Raw genomic sequence first — 22,368 nt, 5'->3', positions numbered from 1 at the left:
AAAATTCTGGGTCATTCTGGGAAGCTAGCGCTAGACCTCAATTTCCTTTCGTCTTTGCTGTACACAGAAGTACAGGGGCAAGGACCTCTGTCTTCACGGAGCAGCTACTGCCTGGCACGGGTTGCCACTTAAAGCTTGGATTCCGAGTAGCGGATGTGGTGAGTAGGACTCCCAGAAGACCTCGCGCGGCCTCAGGGAGATCCTGGGTCTCCAGCTTGGCCACCAACTGCACGGGTCAGCGGAAGTGTCAACGAGATGACTTGCGCTACAGCGGCACACTGGTGAGGAACCGGAAGCCACGAGCCGAGCCACTTCCGGTGCCCGCTTCCGGTAGCGCCTGCGCATTCCTGGGGCAAGTGGACTGTGGTGAACGGTGGAGATCCAGTGGTGGGGTTTGGCCATGTGCCTGGCCATATCCACTGCATATCGCTAGGTGATCTCCGTGTAAATCTAGCAGTACGGGTAAGAGTGTTTGCGGAGGAACTCCTCAGGTCTCTTCCTCCGCATCAGCAGGAGGGTATCATGGGTGTGACTGTCGGGCACTAACACGAATCTCCATCCCATGATTCTAGGCGTTAGGACTGGAGAAGCAGCTCCGGGCCACCGTCCCAGCTCTAATCTCACTTAGGCAATGCAGAGCTGTGGGCCTGACTACCACGTGTGTCTCTGGCTTGTTGAAATGGGCACTTTGTACATCTCACTTGTGCTGGGTAGAGTGTCTTTTCTTTAGAACCAGTACCAATCTCTTAGGCTTTTGGCATTCTCTGCAGCCAAATTCTAACATGCTTCTACTTAGCTGGAATGTACCCTCGGCTTACCTTTGGTAAATGGTATCTCCCCAGGTGAGCTTAGCCACTTCCATGGCTACAAAGACCTCATTTTAGGTCTAGCTCCAATTTCTTTTCTATGTACTCCAGATTCCTACATTCAGGTGCCTACAGGAGTCGTCTTTTAGATGTCTCTCAGGCATCAAAACACATGCCCTTAACTCATGCTTTTAGCCCCTGATCTGTTTGCCTCCAGTATGTGGGGCCACATCCATACAATTGCTCATGCTATCAACAAACACTCCCTCTTTCCTCTTGCTATGGCTTGAATATTTGTGTACCCTAAAAATTCATGTGTTGGAATTCTAACACTTAAACTGATGTTATTAGGAGGTGGGGACTTTGGCAGACCCCTCATGATTGGGATTAGTGTCCTTATAAAAGAGACTGCAGGCCGGGTGTGGTGGCTTACGTCTGTAATCCCAGTGCTTTGGGAGGCCAAGGTGTGAGAATTGCTTAAAGCCAGGAGTTCAAGACCGGCCTGGGAAACATAGCGACACGCCATCTTTTCAAAAAATTTATTTAGCCCGGTGTGGTGGCTGGTGCTTGTAGTCCTAGCTACTTGGGAGGCTGAGGCAGGAGGATTGCTTGAGCCCAGGAAGTTGAGGTTACAGTGAACTATGATTGGCCCACTGTACTCGAGCCTGTGAGGACCCAGCAAGAAGGTGCCATTGTGGAAATGGCCCTCACCAGACAATGAATCTGCCAGCACCTTGATCTGGGTTTCCTAGCCTCTAGAACTATGAGAAAAAAATTTCTGTTGTTTATAAACTACCTGGCTTATGGTAACTTTTTATAGAAGCCAGAACAGACTAAGACATCACATCCACTCAATCATCAAGTCTCATGGATTCTACCTCAAAAGTATCACCAAAACCTGAATGTTTCTGTCTCCCCTGTCCCCATCCTATCCAACAGTACTCACCTGGGTTACCTGAAAGAGCCCGCTGATGACTTTCATATCACACTTGTTCTCTGTCAACACAGCTAACACACTGCCATTTAATAAAAGAAGTATTAAAAAATGTTTGCTCCCTGAAACTCAGCAGAAAATTCCAGCATTATTGCGGGAAGACAACACTAGATGTTCATCTTTCCAGTCTTTGCTGCACAGAACTAGAGGGCCAGGTACCAGATGATTATGATGATTTCATCATCCAATTTGACACCTTCCATTGGCTTCCCATTGTCCTTAGGGACATTTAAATTTTCAACATGACCTTCCTAGTCATTACTTCCCTGCCAGTGTCAACTCCAGCTGTTCTTTTTCTCTTACCCCTCTCCAGCTACACTTTCTCTCAATTCATCAAACATACCAAGCTCTTTGAGAATTGTGCACATACTTTTCCTTTTACTTGGAACATCCCTTTCAATTCCTACATTCTTTGTTTTACCCTCCTTATAGCAATATGCTTGTAATTGAATATTAATTATGTAACTAATAAAATTTCATTGTCTCCATGGGAGGAGAGACCAGGAACATGGTAGATGCTTAAAATTATGCACTGATTGAAACTACTACGGCTCTGTCACTTTTATACCATTGGTTTCAGCTTAAAGACTGACAGAGGGCCGGGTGCAGTGGCTCATGCCTGTGATCCCAGCACTTTGGGAGGCCGAGGTGGGCAGATTACGAGGTCAGGAGTTCGAGACCAGCCTGGCCAATATGGTGAAACCCCATCTCTACTAAAAAAAATACAAAAATTAGCCGGGCATGGTGGTGCGCATCTGTAGTCGCAGCTAGTTGGGAGGCTGAGGCAGGAGAATCGCTTGAACCCAGGAGGCGGAAGTTGCAGTGAGCCGAGATTGTGCCACTGCACTCCAGCCTGGGCAACAGAGTGAGACTTTGTCAAAAAAAAAAAAAAAAAGAAAGGAGAATAGATACTGGTGCTGTCACTTACTAGTAGGCAAGAGGTGTAACAGTGTACCCAAAGAAGCTGTAAGGAGTTTAGAAAAAAACTAAGAAAGCTTCCAGGATAAATATATAATGATACCTTATAGGCTTGAAGGTAATAATTTAGCAAAGATGGCCGGTGCAGTGGCTCACACCTGTAATCCCAGCACTTTGGGAGGTCAAGGCAGGAGGATTACTTGAGGCCAGAAGTTCCAGACCAGCCTGGGCAACATAATAAGACCCATCTCTACCAAAAATTTAAAAATTAGGCCGGGCACAGTGGCTCACGCCTGTAATCCCAGCCCTTTGGGAGACCAAGGCAGGCAGATCACGGGGTCAAGAGATTGAGACCATCCTGGCCAACATGGTGAAACCCCATCTCTACTAAAAATACAAAACAAAAATAGCTGGTCATGGTGGCACGCACCTGTAGTCCCAGCTACTTGGGAGGCTGACACAGGAGAATTGCTTGAACCCAGGAGGTGGAGGTTGCAGTGAGCCAAGATCGCGCCACTGCACTCCAGCCTGGGGGACAAAGGGAGACTCTGTCTGAAAAAAAAAAAAAAAAAGCCGGGCGTAGTGGCACATGCCTGTAGTCCCAGCTACTCAGGAGGCTAAGGTGATAGGATCACTTGAGCCTGGGTGGAGGCTGTAGTGAGCTGTGATTGTTCCACCGTACTCACCCTGGGTGACAGAATGAGAACTCCCTCCCTGCCCAAAAAAAAAGTTTCATTTCACTGATTGGGCATCAACAAGATACAGAATGGGAGACTCCTGACTTTCTTTCCTTCCATGGATGCACTGAATAAGTATCTACACATGGATCAGTTCTCTCTGAGAGAAATATAGAAACTAGTTGAGACTCCCACACACTGGCAACTGATAATATATCCACATCAAAATGGATACCAACAAATTGAGACACAATGTAAACCAAAAACCTGGGCACAGTATCTTACAATTGGGAAGGAATCCCGAAATACCAGATTTTTGAAGAATGAAGGGTTGAGGCCAGACATATCGCTCCCAAACTTAAACAGTTTCCACGTGAGAGTTTGGCTCCTAAATCTTCTTATCCCGGGAATGGCAGGGTTTAGTATTTGTGAGTCCCCTGAGAAAAAAGGACATTTTATTTATTTATTTATTTATTTATTTATTTAGAGACAGAGTTTTGCTTTTTTCACCCAGGTTGTAGTGCAATGGCACAATATTGGCTTACTGCAACTTCCGCCTCCTGGGCTCAAGCGATTCTCCTGCCTTAGGCTATAGAGTAGGCGGGATTACAGGCGCACACCACCATGCCCAGCTAATTTTGTGGGGTTTTTTTTTTTTGTTTGTTTGTTTTTTTTGAGACAGAGTCTCTCTCTGTTGCCCAGGTTGGAGTGCAGTGGCGCAATCTCAACTCACTGCAACCTCTGCCTCCTGGGTTCAAGCGATTCTCCTGCCTCAGCCTCTCGAGTAGCTGGGACTACAGGCACTTGCCACCATGCCTGGCTAATTTTTTGTATTTTTAGTAGAGATGGGGTTTCACAGTGTTAGGATGGTCTCGATCTCCTGATCTTGTGATCCACCCGCCTCAGCCTCCCAAAGTGCTGGGATTACAGGTGTGAGCCACCATGCCCAGCCATAAGAGGACATTTTAAACAGGTATGTGAGCACTTTCAGCGGCTGTCCCCCAGGGTCAGTGCAGAGCAAGCAGGCAGAAATGCACCATCTGCTGGGCACCATGGCTCATGCCTGTAATCCCAGTGCTTTGAGATGCTGAGGCAGAGGATCACTTGAGGCCAGGAGTTTGAAAACAGCCTGGGGAACATACAAACACCCTGCCTCTACCAAAACAAAAAAAAATTTTTTTTAATTAGCCAGGTGTGGTGACATATGCCTATAGTCCTAGCTACTCAGGATGCTGAGGCAGGATGATCGCTTGAGCCCAAGATTCAGGGTTGCACTGAGCTATGATGGAGCCACTGCGTTACAGCCTAGGTGGCAGAGTGAGACCCTGTCTCTAAAAAAAAAGAAAAGAAACAAAAGAATTTAAAAAAGCAGTTCCACAGTCTCCCTAAAAGGGATTTATCTACACATTTTTCCCAACTGCTGCCTGAACGCTGGGCTTCTAAGTAGCCTACATCGAGTAGCTGATAGGGCTGGTAAACAATAGACCTCCAGGAGCATGAACAGGCATGTGGGAACTTCACTGTCGTTCTCCCCTCTGCCACTACTCCATTCAGAGATAAAACTAGGGGCCAGGCACGGTGGCTCACCCCTGTAATCCCAGCACTTTGGGTGGCCAAGGCAGGTGGATCAGTGGAGGTCAGGAGTTCAAGACCAGCCTGGTCAACATGGTGAAACCCTCTCTCTGTTAAAAAATACAAAAAGTTACCTGGGCATGGTTGGGGGTTGTCAGGGAGGTGCACCTGTAATCCCAGCTACTCCGGAGGCTGAGGCAGGAGAATGGCTTGAACTCAGGAGGCAGAGGTGGCAGTGAGCTGAGATTGTGCCACTCTACTTCTGCCTGGGTGACAGAGTGAGACTCTGTCTCAAAAATAAAACAACAAAACAAAAAAAAACTAGGCTTCTAGCTTCTTCCTGGACAGTGTACCCCAACTTTTACAGCTTCCACCCAAGGGACCAGCTTCTAAGCTCCTAAATCATCTGTCTCTGGGAATTGATAAGACTGCATTCACAAGTCCCCCTAGACTACAGAGAAGAAAAGTGATTTTAAAAGAGTGTTTGAGCAGTTCTAGCATCCGTTTCCCCTAACTCAGTACAAAGCGAGCAGACAAAAACACCCAGTTCCCAGTTTACCCCCAGGAAGGGGTTTGACTGCACACCTAACGTCCCAACTTTCCCAGCCGCTGTCCATGAGTCAGGCCTCTAGCCTATATCTGGGCACTGACAGGGCAGGCAATAAGTAGTCCTCTGGGAGCCTGAATGGGCATGCAGTTGCTTCCCGCAATTCCTTTTGCAGGCTCACTCTAGAGATGGAGCCAAGCCTCTGAACAATCCATCTGTCCTGGACAGTAGATGGGAGCTGCAATTGACTAGGCCCCTGGGGGTAACAACACATTAGGCAATGGGTTGAAAGAGTATGTGGTCTGAATGAGAATGCAGGCATTTGCTTGGGATTATCTCCCCAGCTTAGTACAGGGCAAGTGGGAGATCAACACCAGTTCCCAGCTTCTCCTTGAGGATAGAAGGAACTGGAACACATATAACACCCCAACTTTTCTAGCTAAATTTCAGTAACTGGCTTCAATATCACCAGTCTTGGGGCACTGATGGCATTTGGTGCACCCCAATCTCTTGGGGCTACTAAGAACAAAGACAGCAGTTTGTACAAGCACAAAAGTTTGAGAGGTGCCTAGAATCTGGTTGGGTTGATTGGTGAGGTTCATCTCCTACGAAAAATCAGATATTAAGACTTGGAAAGAGAGTTGTCTTATCTAATGCATGAAAATCAACACAGTCAACAAAAAAATCAAGAAATAGAAAATACGTTCCAAACAAAAGATGAAGAAATCTCCAGAAACCAATTCCAATGAAATACAGATCAGTGATTTTACCTATTAGAGAATTAAAAATAGGCTGGGTGCAGTGGCTCATGCCTGTAATCCTAGCACTGTGGGAGACCGAGGCGGGTGGATCACCTGAGGTCAGATGTTCGAGACTAGCCTGGCCAACATGGTGAAACCTCATCTCTACTAAAAATACAGAAATCAGCCAGGCGTGGTGGCGGGCACCTGTAATCCCAGCTACTCGGAAGGCTGAGACAGGAGAATCGCTTGAACCTGGGAGGTGGAGGTTGCAGTGAACCAAGATCGTGTCATTGCACTCCAGCCTAGGCAACAGAGCAAAACGTCCTCTCAAAAAAAAAAAAAGAGAATTAAAAATAATCATAAATATGCTCACTGATGTCAGGAGTATAATGTATGAACAAACCGAGACTTTCAACAAAGAGAAAATACAAAAACAAGGGTTGGCATGGTGGCTCACACTGTCATCCCAGCACTTTGGGAGGCCAAGGTGGGAGGATTGCTTGAGGTTAGGAGTTCAAGACCAGCCTGGTTTACATAGTAAGACCCCATGTCTACAAAAAATTAAAAATTAGCCTGGCATGGTGGCATACGCCTGTGGTCCCAGCTCCTCTGGGGGCTGAGGTGGGAGGATCACTTCAGCCTGGGATGCCAAGGCTGCAGTGAGCTGTTATCACACCACTGCACTCCAGCCTGGGTGACTGAGTGAGACCCTGTCTCAGAAAAAGGAGAAAATTTAAAAACATACCAAACAGAAGTTATAGATCTGAAGTACATAATAACTCATCTGAAAAATTCTCTAGAGGGTTTCACTCACAGACTAGGTCAAGCAGAAAAAAGAGTCAGTGAATTTGAAGACCAGCCATTGGAAATTATCCAACCAGAGGGGCAAAAATGAGAAAAAAAGAAAGAGTGAGGATAGATTAAGGTACTTAAGGGACACCATCGAGTAGACTAATGTATGCATTAGTGGATTTTCAGAAGGCAGAGAGAGCAAAACGGACAGAAAGCATATTCAAACAAACAGTGGCTGAAACCCTTCCAAAACTGGGGAATGAAATAGAAATCAAGACCCAAGAAGTCCAAGGGACATGAAATAAGATGAATCCTGCCAGGTGCGGTGGCTCATGCCTGTAATCCCAGCCCTTTGGGAGGCCGAGGCAGGTGGATCACTTGAGGTCAGGAGTTCGAGACCAGCCTGGCCAACATGGTGAAACCCCGTCTCTGCTAAAAATATAAAAATTAGCCGCGCGCGGTGGCATGTGCCTGTAATGCCAGCTACTCAGGAGGCTGAGGCAGGAGAATGGCTTGAACCTGGGAGGTGGAGGTTGCAGTGAGCCTAGATCATGCCATAGCACTCCAGCCTGAGCGACAGAGCGAGACTGTCTCAAAAAAAAAAAAAATAAGATGAATCCAAAGAGATCCACACTGACATACATTACAATCAAATTGTCAAAAGTTAGAGACAGAATTTTGAAAGCAGCCAAGGGAAAAGCAACTTCTGTGTACAAGGGTCCCCTAATAAAACTATTAACAGAGTTTCCAGCATAAACCTTGTGGGCCAGAAAGGAGTGGGACAATAGATACAAAGTGCTGAAAGAAAAAAACTTCCAGTCAAGAATGCTATATCCAACAAACCCATACTTCAAAAATGAGAGGGAAATAAAGACTTTCTCAAACAAAAGCTGAGGGAGATTATCACCACTAGACCTGCCTTATAAGAAATGCTAAAGAGAGTTCTTAAGGTTAAAACAAAAGTATGGAAAACAGTAACAGGAGCACACGAAGTATGAAACTCATTGGCAAAGGTAAATATATAGTCAAAACCAATAGTGTATTACTATAACAGTAGTGGGTAAATCAATTTTAGTTCTCTTATAAAAGTTAAAAGACAAAAGTAGTAAAACAACTATATTATGTTAATTGGTACAATATAAATAGGTGTTAGTGGTGATATCAATAGCATATAAGCCAGGGGAAGAGAGATAAAAGCAAAGTTCTGACATGCAAGGGAAGTTAAGTTGTTATCAGCTTAAAGTAGACTATTATAAGAGATTTTATGTAAACACTTGGTAACTACAAAGAAAATGCCTATAGAATTAAAGAAAAGGAGAAAATAATGAAAACATAGGCCAGGAGTTCGAGACTAGCCTGTCCAACATGGCAAAACCCCATCTCTACTAAAAATAGAAAAATTAGCCAGGTGTGGTGCTGCACACTTGTAATCCCAGCTACTTGGAAGGCTGAGGCAGGAGAATTGCTTGAACCAGAAGGCGAAGGTTGCAGTGAGCCGAGATTGTGCCATTGCCCTCCAGCCTGGGTGACAGAGCAAGACTCCATCTCAAAAAAAAAAAAAAAAAAAAAACAGTGAAATACAAAAGAAAACAGCAAGAGAAAGGGACAGAAGGACTATAAGACTAACAGAAATAAGTAACAAAATATCAATAGTAAATCTTTCCTTATTTTTTATTTTATGTTTTGTTTGTTGTTGTTTTTGTTTTTTGTTTTTGAGACAGAGTCTTGCTCTGTCTCACCCAGCTGGAGTGCAGTGGTGCTATCTTGACTCACTGCAACCTCCACCTCTCGGGCTCAAGCAATTCTCCTGCCTCAGCCTCCCAAGTAGCTGGGATTACAGTGTGTACCACCATACCCAGCTAATTTTTGTACTTTTAGTAGAGACGGGGTTTTGCCATGTTGGCCAGGCTGGTCTCGAACTCCTGACCTCAGGTGATCCGCCTGCCTCAGCCTCCCAAAGTGCTGGGATTGCAAATGTAACCCACTGCACTCAGCCAGCAATGATTTTTTGAATATCACACCAAAAGCTGAGGCAAAAAAAAAAACAAAGCAAGACACAAGAAACAAGTAGGATTACATCAAGCTATAAAACTGCTGCAAAGCAAAGGAGGCAGTCAACAAAATGAAAAGGTAGACTATGGATTAAAAGAAAATACCTGCAAATAATATATCTGATAAAGTCATCAAATATATGAGGAACTCACACAACTCAAAAACAAATTAACCAAATAGCCCAATTAAAAAATGGGCAATGAATTTGAATGGACATTTTTCTAAAGAAAACATAAAATAACCAACACATTGAATGAGGAAAAGCAGGATGGATTCCCTTTGAAAACTGGCACAAGTCAATAATGCCCTCTCTCACCACTTTTATTCAACGTAGTATTGGAAGTCCTGGCCAGAATAATGAGGCAAGAGAAAGAAAGAAAAGGCATCCAAATAGGAAGAAAAGAAGTCAGACTCTCCCTGTTTGCAGATGACATGTTTCTATCTAGGAAACCCCATTGTCTCAGCCCAAAAGTTCCTTCAGCTGATAAACAACTTCAGCAAAGTTTCAGGATACAAAGTCAATGTACAAAAATTACCGGCATTCCTATGCACATACAACAGCCAAGCCGAGAGTCAAATCAGGAAGGCAATCCCATTCACAATTGCCACAAAAAGAATAAAATACCAAGCCGTGCATGGAGGCTCACACCTGTAATCCCAGCAAGATTCCATCTCAAAAAAATAAATAAGTATATAAAATACCTAGGAATACAGCTAACTAGGGAGGTGAAAGATCCCTACAATGAGAATTACAGCACACAGCTGAAATAAATCAGAGATGACACAAATGGAAAAACATCCCATGCTCATGGATTGGAAGAATAAATATCATTAAAATGGACATATTGCCCAAAGCAATTTGTAGATTCAATGCTATTCCTATCAAACTACCAATGACATTCTTCATAGAATTATAAAAAACTATTTTAAAATTCACATGGAACCAGCTGGCTGCGGTGACTCACACCTGTAATCCCAGCACTTTGGGAGGCCGAGATGGGCAGATTACGAGATCAGGAGATTGAGACCATCCTGGCTAACACGGCGAAACCCCATCTTTACTAAAAATACCAAAAAAAAAAAAATTAGCTGGGCATGGTGGCAGGTGCCTGTAGTCCCAGCTACACATGAGGCTGAGGCAGAAGAATGGCATGAACCCGAGAGGCGGAGCTTGCAGTGAGCCAAGATTGCGCCACTGCACTCCAGCCTGGGCAACAGAGCAAGACTCTGTCTCAAAAAAAAAAAAAAAAAATTCACATGGAACCAAAAAGAGCCTGAATAGCCAAGGCAATCCTAAGCAAAAAGAACAAAGTTGGAGGCATCACATTACCTGACTTCAAACTGTCCTACAGGGCTACAGTAACCAAAACAGCATGGTACTGGTACAAAAACAGGCACATAGGCCAATGGAACAGAATAGAGAGACCAGAAATAAGGCCACACTCCTAAGATCATCTGATCTTCAATAAAGCTGACAAAAACAAGCAATGGTGTGTGGGTGGAGGGAATCCCTGTTCAATAAATGGTGCTGGGATAATTGGCTAGCCATATGCAGAAGATTGAAACTGGACCCCTTCTTTACACCATATACAAAAATCAACTCAAGATGGATTAAAGACTTAAATGTAAAATCCAAAGCTATAAAAACCCTAGAAGACAACCGAGGCAATACCGTCTTGGACATAGGATCGAAAATATTTCATGACAAAGACTCCAAAAGCAATTGCAACAAAAGCAAAAATTGAGACATGGGACCTAATTGAACTAAAGAGCTTCCTCTGCACAGCAAAAGAAACTATCAACAGAGTAAACAGACAACCTCCAGAATGGAAGAAAATATTTGCAAATATGCGTCTGACAAAGGTCTAATATCCAGCATCTATAAGGAATGTAAACAAATTTGCAAGAGAAAAACAACCCCATTAAAAAGTAGGCAAAGGACATGAACAGACAATTTTCAAAAGAAGACATACATGCAACCAACAATCATAAGAAAAAAAGCTCAATATCACTAATCATTAAAGAAATGCAAATCAAAACCATAATGAGATACCATCTCACACCAGTGATAATGGCTGTTATTAAAAAGTCAAAAAATATGCTGGCAAGATTGCAGAGAAAAGGGAACACTTATACACTGTTAGTGGGAGTATAAATTTCGCCCAACCATTGTGGAGAGCAGTATGGCGATTCCTCAAAGTGCTAAAAAGAGAACTACAGTTTGACCCCACAATCCCATTACTGGGTATGTACCCAGAGAAATATAAATCATTCTCTTGTAAAGACACATGCACATGAATGTTCACAGCAGCACCATTCACAATAACAAAGACGTGGAATCAAAGGCCCATCAGTGACGACTGGATAAAGAAAACGTACATATACACCATGAAATACCGTGCAGCCATAAAAAAGAATGAGATCATGTCTTTTGCAGGAATATCGATGGAGTTGGAGGCCAGAAACTACTGGCAGGAACAGAAAATACTGCACGGAACTTTCTTTCTTTCTTTCTTTCTTTCTTTCTTTCTTTCTTTCTTTCTTTCTTTCTTTCTTTCTTTCTCTCTCTCTCTCTCTCTCTCTTTCTTTCGTCTCTCTCTCTTTCTGTGTTTCTTTCTTTCTTTTTTTTGATGGAGTCTCACTCTGTCAACCCCTGCTGCAGTGCAGTGGTAGGACCTCAGTTCACTGCAACCTCTGCCTCCCCGGTTCAAGCGATTCTCCTGCCTCAGCCTCCCGAGTAGCTGGGACTACAGGTGCATGCCAGCATGCCCGGCTAATTTTTGTATTTTTAGTAGAGACGGGGTTTTGTCATATTGTCCAGGCTGGTCTCGAACTCCTGACCTCATGATCTGCCCACCTTGGCCTCCCAAAGTGCTGGGATTACAGGCATGAGCCACCGCACCCAGCCTGCATGGAACTTTCAATACTGTTCCACTGACCAGCCATACTCCCATCGCTCTTCCTCTCCTTGGACCTCCCTTTTCCCTGAGACACAAAAATATTGACATTAGACCACTTAATAACTCTACGATGACCTCTAAGTGTTCAAGTGAAAGGAAGAGTCACACATCTCTCACTTTATTTATTTATTTTTGGAGATGGAGTCTCGCTCTGTCGCCCAGGCTGGAGTGCAGTGTCGTGATCTTGGCTCACTACATCCTCTGCCTTCCAGGTTCAAGCGATTCTCCTGCCTCAGCCTCCTGAGTAGCTAGGACTACAGGTGTGCACCACCACTCCTGGCTAATTTTTGTATTATTAGTAGAGATGGGGTTTCACCATGTTGGCCAGGTTGGTCTCCAACTCTTGACCTTGTGATCCACCCACCCCAGCCTCCCAAAGTGCTGAGATTACAGGCATGAACCACCCCTTGGCCCATCTCTCACTTTAAATCAAAAGGTAGAAATGATTAAGCTTAGTGAGAAAGGCATGTCAAAACCTGAGACAGGCCAAAAGCTAGGTTTCTTGTGCCAAATGTTTAACCAAATTGTGAATTCAAAGGAAAAGTTCTTGAAGGAAATTTAAAGTGCTACTCCAGTGAACACATGAATGATAAAAAAGTGAAACAGTCTTTTTGCTGATATGGGGCAAGTTTGAGTGGTGTGGATAGAAGATCAAACCAGCCACAACATTCCCTTAAACTAAAGCCTAATCCAGAGCAAGGCCCAAACTCTCTTCAGTTCTGTGAAGGCTGAGAGAGGTGAAGAAGGTGCAGAAGAAATGTTGGGAAGTAACAAAAGTTGGTTCATGAGGTTTAAGGAGAAAAGCCATCTCCATAATATAAAAGTGCAAGGTGAAGCTTCAAGTGCTGATGGAGAAACTGCAGCATGTTATCCAGAAGATCTAGCTAAGATCATTGATGAAAGTGGCTACAATAAGAACAGATTTTCAATGTAGACAAAACAGCCTGCTATTGGGGAAAGATGCCATCTAAGACTTTTGTAGCTAGAGAGGAGAAGTCAATGCCTGGCTTCAAAGCCTTAAAGGGCAGGCTGACTCTTTTGTTGGGGTGAATGCCGTTGGTGAAGCCAGTTCTCATTTACCATTCTGAAAAATCCTGAAGCCCTTAAGAATTATGTTTATTCTGCCTGTGCTCTATCAGTTGAACAACAAAGACTGGATGACAACCTATGTGTTTACAGCATGGTTTGCTGAATATTTTAAGCCCATTGTTGAGACCTACTGCTCAGAAAAAAAAATATTCCTTTCCAAATATTACAGTTTATTACAATGCACCTGGACAACCAAGAGCTCTGATGGAGATATACAAGGAAGTTAATGTTTTCATGCCTGCTAACACAACATTTATTCTGCAGCCCATGGATCAAAGAGTAATTTCATTCTTCTCTTTATTTCATTTTATTTTTTTGAGATGGGCTCTCACTCCCCCAGACTAGACTGCAGTGGTACAATCATAATTCATTGCAGCCTAGCTCCTGGGCTCAAGTAATCCTCCTGCCTTGGCCTCCCAAGCAGCTGAGACTACAGCATGTGCCACCACACTTGTCCAATTTTTTAAATTTTTCTGTAGGCTGGGTGTGGTGGCTCACGCCTGTAATACCAACACTTTGGGAGGCCAAGGCAGGCAGATCACAAGGTAAGGAGATCAAGACCATCCTGGCTAACACGGTAAAACCCTGTCTTTACTAAAAATACAAAAAATTTGCCGGGCGTGGTGGCATGTGCCTGTAGTCCCAGCTACTCAGGAGGCCGAGGCAGGAGAATTGCTTGAGCCTGGGAGGTGGAGGTTGCCGTGAGCCAAGGTTGCACCACTGAACTCCAGCCTGGTGACACAGCAAGACTCTGTCTCAAAAAAAAATGTTTTTCTCTGTAGCGATGGGGACTTGATATGTTGCCCAGGCTGGTCTTGAACTCCTGGGCTCAAGTGATCCTCCCACCTCAGCCTCCCAAAGTGCTGGGATTACAGGCATGAGACACTGCTCCCAACCATAAGTGTTTGGTTTTGTTTTGTTTTTGCTTTTGTTTTTGTTTTTTTTGAGACAGTCTCACTGTGTTTCCCAGGCTGGAGTGCAGTGGCGTGATCTCAGCTCACTGCAACCTCCAACTCCTGGATTCAAGCGATTCTCCTGCCTCAGCCTCCTGAGTAGCTGGGAGTACAGGAGCACGCCACCACACCCAGCTAATTTTTCTATTTTTGTGGAGATGGGTTTTGCCATGTTGGCCAGGCTTGTCTGGAACTCCTGACCTCAAGTGATCTGGGTGCCTCAGCCTCCCAAATTGCTAGGATTACAGGTATGAGCCATGACACCCAACCATTTTGTTTTTTGAGACAGGGTCTTGCTCTGTCACTCTGGCTGAAGTACAAATGGCACAATCACAACTCACTGCAGCCTCAACCTCCTAGGCTCAAGTGATCCTCCCACCTCAGGCTCCCAAGTAGCTGGGACTACAGGCATGCACCACCATGCCCAGCTAATTTTTTAATTGTTTTGTAGAGTTGGGGTCTTCCCTGTGTTAACTCCTGGGCTCAGAGAGCAGTCCTCCCACCTTGGTCTCCCAGATTGCTGGGATTACAGACATGAGCCACTTGCACAGCCCAAAAGTGTTTTTTTGAGATGGAATCTACTCTTGGTAAAGATGCTGTGAATGTTGTTGAAATGACAATAGGATTTAGAATATTACATAAACTTAGTTAATGAAGGAGCAGCAGGATTTGAGAAGATTTTGAAAGTTCTACTGTGGACAAAATGCTATCACCCTGTATCACATGCTATGGAGAAATCTTTTGTGAAAGGAAGAGTCAACTGATTTGAAAAACTTCATTGTTATTTTAAGAAATTGTCCCTGCCACCCCAACCCTCTGCAGCCACCACACTTATCAGCATTTTGTTTATCTGATGTAATGCTTTTCCACACTTAATAGACTACAGTATAGTGTAAACATAGGTTTTATATTCACCAGGAAATCAAAACATTTGTGTGGCTCATTTTATTGGGACATTCACTTTATTGTAGGGGTCTGGAATCAAAACTGCAATATCTGTGAGGATACTGTATACAACTAAGGTACGTTATTCACAGTAGCCAAGACTTGAAAACAACCTAAGTGTCCACTGGTAGATAAATGGATACACACACACACACACACACACACACACACACAGAGCGGAACATTATTCAGCCTTAAAAAGGAGATCTATCTGCCAGGTGCAGTGGCTTACCCCTGTAATCCCAGCACTTTGGGAGGCCAAGGTGGGTGGACTGCTTGAGCCCAGGAGTTTGAGACCAGCCTGGGTAACATAGTGAGACCCCGTGTCTACAGAAAAAAATGTTTTACAAAATAAGCCACGTGTGATGGCACACGCCTGTAGTCCTAGCTACTTGGGAGGCTGAGGCGGGAGGACGACTTGATTCCGGGAGGTCAAGTGACTGCAGTGAGCTATGATTGCACCACTACACTCCAGCCTGGGTGACAGAGCAAGACTCTGTCTCAAAAAAAAAAAAAAAAAAAAAAGATTCTACCATTTTCAACAACATGAATGAACCTGTTGGACTTTGTGCTAACTGAAGTAAGCTAGACATAGAAAGAAAAAATACTACATGATCCCACTTATATACAAAATCTAAAAAAGTCAAATACATAAAAGCAGAGTAGGGTGGGTGCGGTAGCTCATGCCTGTAACCCCAGCACTTTGGGAGGTCGAAGCAGGCAGATCACCTCAGGTCAGGAGTTCGAGACCAGCCTGGGCAACATGGTGAAACTCCATCTCTACTAAAAATACAAAAATTAGCCGGGCATGGTGGCAGCATGCCTGTAATCCCAGCTACTTGGGAGGCTGAGGCAGGAGATTTGCTTGAACCTGGGAGGTGGAGGTTGCAGTGAACTGAGATCGCACCACTGCACTCCAGCCTGGGCAACAGAGCGAGACTGCATCCTCACCAAAAAAACCAACAAAAAACAGAGTAGAATGGTGGTGGGGGCGGGGGCGGGGGAGGAAATGGGGAAATGTAGGTGAGAGGGTATAAAGTTGCAGTTATATAGGATGACTAAGTCTAGAAAGCTGATGTACAATATGATGATTATACTTAATGATATAGTACTGGAAATTTGATAAGAGTACATTTCAGGTATTCTTACTAGAGGAAAAAAATTTAAGGTAACTGTGTGAGGAGATGGATATGTTAATTTGCTTGACTATATTAATCATTTCACTATGTATATGTATATCAGAATATCATGTTGTACATCTTAAGTGTTGTACACGCTGTGGCCAGGAAGATGGAGTAGACTGTTCAGGTTGGATTCTCATGTGCTGTCCTGGAGTTGGTATCAGTTCTACCAAAATCACAGGGATTAAGTGTGAAGGAAGGATCACTTGAGTCCAGGAGTTCAGGGCTACAGTGAACCATGATTGTACCACTGTACTCCAGCCTGGGCAACAGAGTGAGACCCTACCTCAAAAAAGAGAAGAAGGAGAAGAGAGGATGGGTGCTTGGGTTAAAAATAATAGTTAAATCAGAGTAGAGAATCAGAGAGGTAATTAGAATAGTTATAAAAGTGGCTAACACCATTCAAGTGCGGGTCCTATGCCAGCCCTCCTATGCTAAGCACTTTTCCTGGATTATTTCACCATTATCATCACATTTCACACATCAGAAAATATAGGACCAGGTTGTAGGGTATGTTGGGCAGGCAGTAGGAGACAGGATGGAAGGTGCACTGGAGGTGTGTTGTTACATCTCTCAACTTCCTATGAGCTGTACAAACTCCAGAAACATTATTGAATCTCAGTCTCCTCAAATGCCAGGAAGATAATCATAGGGTCTATCTCGAATATGCTAGTCAAAGCAGATGTGCTGTCAGTTGTATCTCTGTGAGGAATCGCTGTCGTCATCAAGTGATCGCCCTGGCAAGAGAATGTTTGGGGGTGGCATAAAGACCTTCCTACCTTTGGCTGGGCGTAGTGGCTCACGCCTGTAATCCCTGCACCTTGGGAGGCCAAGGCGGGTAGATCACCCATTTGAGACCAGCCTAACCAACATGGAGAAACCCTGTCTCTACTAAAAATACAAAATTGGCCGGTTGTGTGTAATCCCAGCTACTCGGGAGGCTGAGGCAGGAGAATTGCTTGAACCCAGGAGGCGGCAGTTGCGGTGAGCTGAGATCGCGCCATTGCGCTCCAGCCTGGGCAACAATAACGAAACTCCATCTCAAAAACAAAACACAAAACATAACAAAAAAACAAAACGAAACAAAACAAAAACCTTTCTATCTTTATAAATTAGATCCTTCCTCAGTCACTTGTTATTGTGCCATTTCTGTTTTAACATTTCTTTTAGGAGCTGTGTGGTTGCAGTTTTGCCTTTGTGTAATTATTTGATTCAGATGTGTTCCTTGCTGGAGACTAGGCTTTTTTCTTTTTTCTTTTTTTTTTCCCCCGAGATACAGTCTCCCTCTGTCACCCAGGCTGGAGTGCCGTGGTGTGATCTTAGCTCACTGCAACTTCCGCCTCCTGGGTTCAAGCAATTCTCCTGCCTCAGCCTCCCTGAGTAGCTGGGACTATAAGCGCACGCCACCACGCCCAGCTAATTTTTTTTTTTTTTTTTTTTTTTTTTTTTTTATATTTTTGTTAGAGACGAGGTTTCACCATGTAGGCCAGGCTGGTCTCGAACTCTTGACCTCAGGTGATCCGCCCACCTCAGCCTCCCAAAGTACTGGGATTACAGGCGTGAACCACCGCGCCCGGCCTGGAGACTGGGCTTTCTAAGAGACCATGAGCATCGTCCGGGTTCACCATATTGCCTCCAGCCCCTATTGGTGCCTGGCGTGTTGTGGACAGTCAATAAATATTTGTCATTTGCGTGAACAAGCTTAATGAATGAACCCCAGGACACCCTTTGAGGTTCAACAGTCTCAGGCAAGCAACAGCTCAGCAGTACGTGGAGCCCACGAAAACCACAATTCCCAGAGGGCTCCGTGGCTGCCCGGCCTCCTCTTCACCCTGACAGCTGTGCCAGGCAATGGAAGGTGAGAATTCCTCGGGCTGGGCGCCAAGCAGCCCACTCAGAGGGGACTCTTTCAGGTATTTCCTGTCGAGGCCCCGCCCCTCACCCTAGGAGCGTTCTATCCTCCGGTGGCGATTTCCGGAAAAGCCTACCTGGAACATCCGGCCACAGGGCTCGCTCAGCTGCAGGGTCCTTACCTGTCTATTCCTGCCCGTTGTCCCTGGGTGACCCCGGGAATGGGGGCATGTGACTCCCCGGGGGACCGCGTTCCCTCCCTCCCAGCACGTCCCAGGCCCAGAGGAGGAGGCGGCTTCACCCTGGCGGGGGCTTGCCCTCAAACCTATCGGGCACTGACCCTTGGAGGAGGGCTCCCGGGTGCAGTGTTGAGGCGGGAAGGCAGAGATCTGCATTGAGAGGGTTTCGTTGCGATCTGCATTGAGAGGGCAACTGCAGCCAAGTAGAGCCATGTTTTGCTTTGAGAAGGTTTAAGAGGAATTCATCTAGCCAGTGAGGTCAGGGAGTCACTGTCTCACTGCTGTTTTCTTTTTTTTGAGACGGTGTTTCACTCTTGTGACTTCCAGTCTCTGGTTGCAAATATAAGGAGCTTGAAAGTTGTCACTCCATTCTAATGACAAATAAAAAGCTGAACAACCCGAAAAACCCAACAATTCTTCTGTAAGAGAAGTGAGGTCACAGGGCAAACAGCCACCCCAAAATTTGTAGAGACAGACTGGTGGATACGGAGAATCACAATCTATTGGAGCAGCTGAGGTCCTCTGGCAGACCATGCATGGGTACGGGGGCTGAGAGGAAACTTACATCTGAGTACAGGACCTTGGGTTCTTGTAGCCATTGGACCCTTCCTGGTCCTCTTGGCCTGGAGTTGAGCCTTATACCAAAGGAAGGCTATGCTTGGGGATGGTCTGTTGCCCAGGCTGGAGTGCAATGGTGCGATCTCAGCTCACTGCAACCTCTACCTTCCTTCAGCCTCGCCTCCCGGGTTCAAGAGATTCTCATGCCTCAGCCTCGTGAGTAGCTGGGACTACAGGCGCACACCACCACACGCGGCTAATTCTTTTTTTTTTTTTTTTTTTTGGTACAGACAGGATTTCACCATGTTGGCCAGGCTGGTTTTGAACTCCTGGCCTCAAATGATCCGCCTGCCTCGGCCTCCCAAAGTCCTGGGATTGCAGGTGTGAGCCACTGCGCCTGACCCCAACCCTTATAATTAAGTAGAAATCTATGGTCCTTCTCTTTTAGGAGAGATGCTCTTTGACTAACTTGATTCAAGATGGATATGTGCGGTGGGTTGAGTCATGGCACCCCAAATGTGTCCACATCCTAATACTTGGAACCCATTAAGTTTACCTTATATGGCAAAAGGGGCTTTGCAGATGTTATTAAGTTAAGGATCTTGAGATAGGGAGATTATTCTGGATTATGCCGGTGGGCCCAACATCATAACGGTCCTTATACAAGGCAAGCAGGAAGGTCATAGTCAGAGGAGAATGCGGTGGAATGAGATTGGAGTGATGCACTTTGAGGGTGGAGGCCAAAGGATGTGGGTGGCTGTTAGAAGCTGAAAAAGTCAAGGCAAGAGATTCACCCCTCAGAGCCTTCAGAGGAACCAGCCTTGCCGACAGCTTGATTTTGGCTGAGTGAAATCAATTTCAGATTTCTGACCTCTAGAACGATAAGGTTGTGGGTTTTTTTTTTTTTTTTTTTTTTTTTTTTTTGAGACGGAGTCTTGCTCTGTAGCCCAGGCTCTGGAGTGCAGTGGTGCAAACTCGGCTCACTGCAAGCTCCACCTCCTGGGTTCACGCCACTCTCCTGCCTCAGCCTCCTGAGTAGCTGGGACTACAGGTGCCTGCCACCACGCCCAGCTAATTTTTTTTGTATTTTTAGTAGAGACGGGGTTTCACTGTGTTAGCCAGGATGGTCTCGATCTTCTGACCTCGTGATCCACCCACCTCGGCCTCCCAAAGTGCTGGGATTACAGGCGTGAGCCACCGTGCCCGGCGGTTTTTTTGCTTTTTGTGTTTTTTTGTTTGTTTTTGTTTTTTGAGTCCAAGTTTCACTCTTGCTGCCCAGGCTGGAGTGCAGTGGCACAATCTCGGCCCACTGCAGCCTCTGCCTCCCATGTTCAAGTGATTCTTCTGCCTCAGCCTCCCGAGTAGCTGGGATTATAGGCGTGCACCACCACATCCGGTTAATTTTTGTATTTTTAGTAGAGACAGGCTTTCACCATATTGGCCAGGCTGATCTTGAACTTCTGACCTCAGGTGAACTTTTCACAACCTTGGCCTCCCAAAGTGCTGGGATTACAGGTGTGAGCCACCACGCCCGGCCCCAGTTTGTGTTGTTTTAAACCATTAAGCTGGTGGGTCATCTGTTACCACACCACAAAGTACCTAATACAGATGTGACTATGACTTGGAGGTTATTAAGGGACAACAGTGAAATCAGCCTGGTTTCAGTAGGGTGAGGTGGAAACACAATGAGGAAGAAAGAGGCCTTGACCAGGGAGAGGTATCAGGATGGAGCCAGGTATGGGGCAGCTCGGATACAGAAGCTAAATTCTTCATGATCTAACATAACAGATGGGAATGGGATCAGGGCCTAAAGTACCTAAAGGACCACAAAAGCTGTAAGGAAGGCCACTGGGCCTTCAATAAGCCTCTGCCCAAAAGACAGAAGCTCACCTGTGCATTCAACAGATTGTCACCAGGATCTCTGAACTCAGGCAGACATGGGCCCTGTGGGTACAGTGGGGATTCTCAACTGTTCACATACTGAACATCTGTTTCTCTTGGCTGGTTATTGACAAAGTCCAGAAGCTAAAGTTATGGAAAAACAATGTTCTTGTTTTGAAAGAGCTGTTATAGTGCATGGTAGTTTCCCAGCCTTGGTGATACTGATTTTTTGAGCCAGGTCATTGCTGTGGGGGCTGGCTGTCCCGGCACTGCAGGCGGTTCAGTAGAACCCACTAGAGGCCAGCAACAAGCCTCCCTTCCCCAGTCCTAACAACCAAAAGTGTCTTTGGACTTTGTCCGACAACCCCTGGGGGGCTCCCAGTTTGAGCACCCCTGGTGTATGGGGTCTAGCAGAGAGGCTGGACCCCAATTTTCACAGAAGTCTGCCTAGGGCTCCTCAGGGAAGGCTTTGAGAGAAGGAAACTCTTGTGAGAGGGAGGAGGCAGGAGGGAGTGGGGAGCATCAGGAAATAAAGGCAAAGGAAACAATTGTGTGCAAAGGCCCCAAAGAGGACTCATAGGTGTGCATATGTCCCTCGGCAGTTAGAAGGGACAAGAGATTCCTTGGGGGGTACAGAAGAGCTCAGCCCACAGCCCTGAGGTGACTGGTAGTTACTTGATGATACTGATGTTTTGTGAAGAATGCTACCTTGCTGAGCGTACATCTGTAATCCCAGCACTTTGGGAGTCTAAAGTGAGAGGATGGCTTGAGCCCAGGAGTTCGAGGATAGACTGGGCAACACAGTGAGACTCTGTCTCTACAAAAAAATAGAAAAATTAGCCAGGCATGGTGGTGCATTCCTGTAGTCCCAACTGCTCGGGAGGCTGAGGAGGGAGGATTGCTTGAGCCCAGAAGATCGAAGCTATAGTGAGGCATGATCACGCCAGTGCACTCTAGCCTGGGCAACAGAGTGAGACCCTGTCTCAAAAAAAAAAAATGCTACTTGCTTCTTATTTTCTGCATCAGGAATGCACTAATCTGCCAAAAGTTTTCTCTAAACTGAGCAATGAGCTAGGAATTGTATACTGATTTGCATTTTAATTTCCGCTTTGAGAAAACGAGGAGGTGGCATTAGATGATCGCTCAGGCTTATTTCCAGGGCTCATTTTATATAAATATATTTTGTCACTTAAAAATACGCTGTTGAGGTACAATTTACATATCATAAAATTAGCCCATTTCAATTATTTTTAGTAAATTTACTGAGTTGTGCAACCATCACTGTAATCCAGTCTTAGAATATTTTCATTACCCCAATCCTTTTGCTATTTTTTTTTTTTCCTGAGACAGAGTCTCACTCTGTCATCCAGGCTAGAGTGGAGTGGTGCAATCATAGCTCACTGCAGCCTCTAACTCCTGGGCTCAAACAATACTTTTGCCTCAGCCTCCAAGAGTAGCTAGCTGGGATTATAGGCATGCACCATCATGCCTGGCTAATTTTTGTATTTTTTGTAGAGACAGGATTTAGCTACATTGCCCAGGCTGGTCTCAAACTCCTGGGCTCGATCACCCTGCCTCAGCCTCTCAAAGTGCTAGGATTACATGTGTGA

At 45.3% G+C, this 22,368-nt stretch overlaps 4 annotated features.

The window, feature by feature from the left end:
* Window positions 64–113: a silencer, noted in NCBI's record as "silent region_7134". NCBI's record gives its function as "represses an Ori minimal core promoter by ATAC-STARR-seq in GM12878 lymphoblastoid cells {active_cell/tissue: GM12878}" and the evidence as "EXISTENCE:reporter gene assay evidence [ECO:0000049][PMID:35858748]".
* Window positions 310–811: an enhancer, noted in NCBI's record as "H3K4me1 hESC enhancer chr16:3481451-3481952 (GRCh37/hg19 assembly coordinates)". NCBI's record gives its function as "activates a minimal SCP1, AML or CMV promoter by ChIP-STARR-seq in naive H9 embryonic stem cells {active_cell/tissue: H9 hESC(naive)}" and the evidence as "EXISTENCE:reporter gene assay evidence [ECO:0000049][PMID:30033119]".
* Window positions 374–543: an enhancer, noted in NCBI's record as "active region_10321". NCBI's record gives its function as "activates an Ori minimal core promoter by ATAC-STARR-seq in GM12878 lymphoblastoid cells {active_cell/tissue: GM12878}" and the evidence as "EXISTENCE:reporter gene assay evidence [ECO:0000049][PMID:35858748]".
* Window positions 11,677–11,959: a silencer, noted in NCBI's record as "fragment chr16:3470303-3470585 (GRCh37/hg19 assembly coordinates)". NCBI's record gives its function as "represses an EF-1alpha promoter that drives an FKBP-Casp9 reporter gene in an ReSE screen in HepG2 liver carcinoma cells {active_cell/tissue: HepG2}" and the evidence as "EXISTENCE:reporter gene assay evidence [ECO:0000049][PMID:32094911]".

The sequence above is a fragment of the Homo sapiens genome, chromosome 16 (assembly GCF_000001405.40).
Source record: "Homo sapiens chromosome 16, GRCh38.p14 Primary Assembly".
In the NCBI taxonomy this organism is placed as follows: domain Eukaryota; kingdom Metazoa; phylum Chordata; class Mammalia; order Primates; family Hominidae; genus Homo; species Homo sapiens.
Note: the sequence above shows the minus strand (reverse complement) of the source record. Positions and strands in the feature narration are given on the sequence as shown.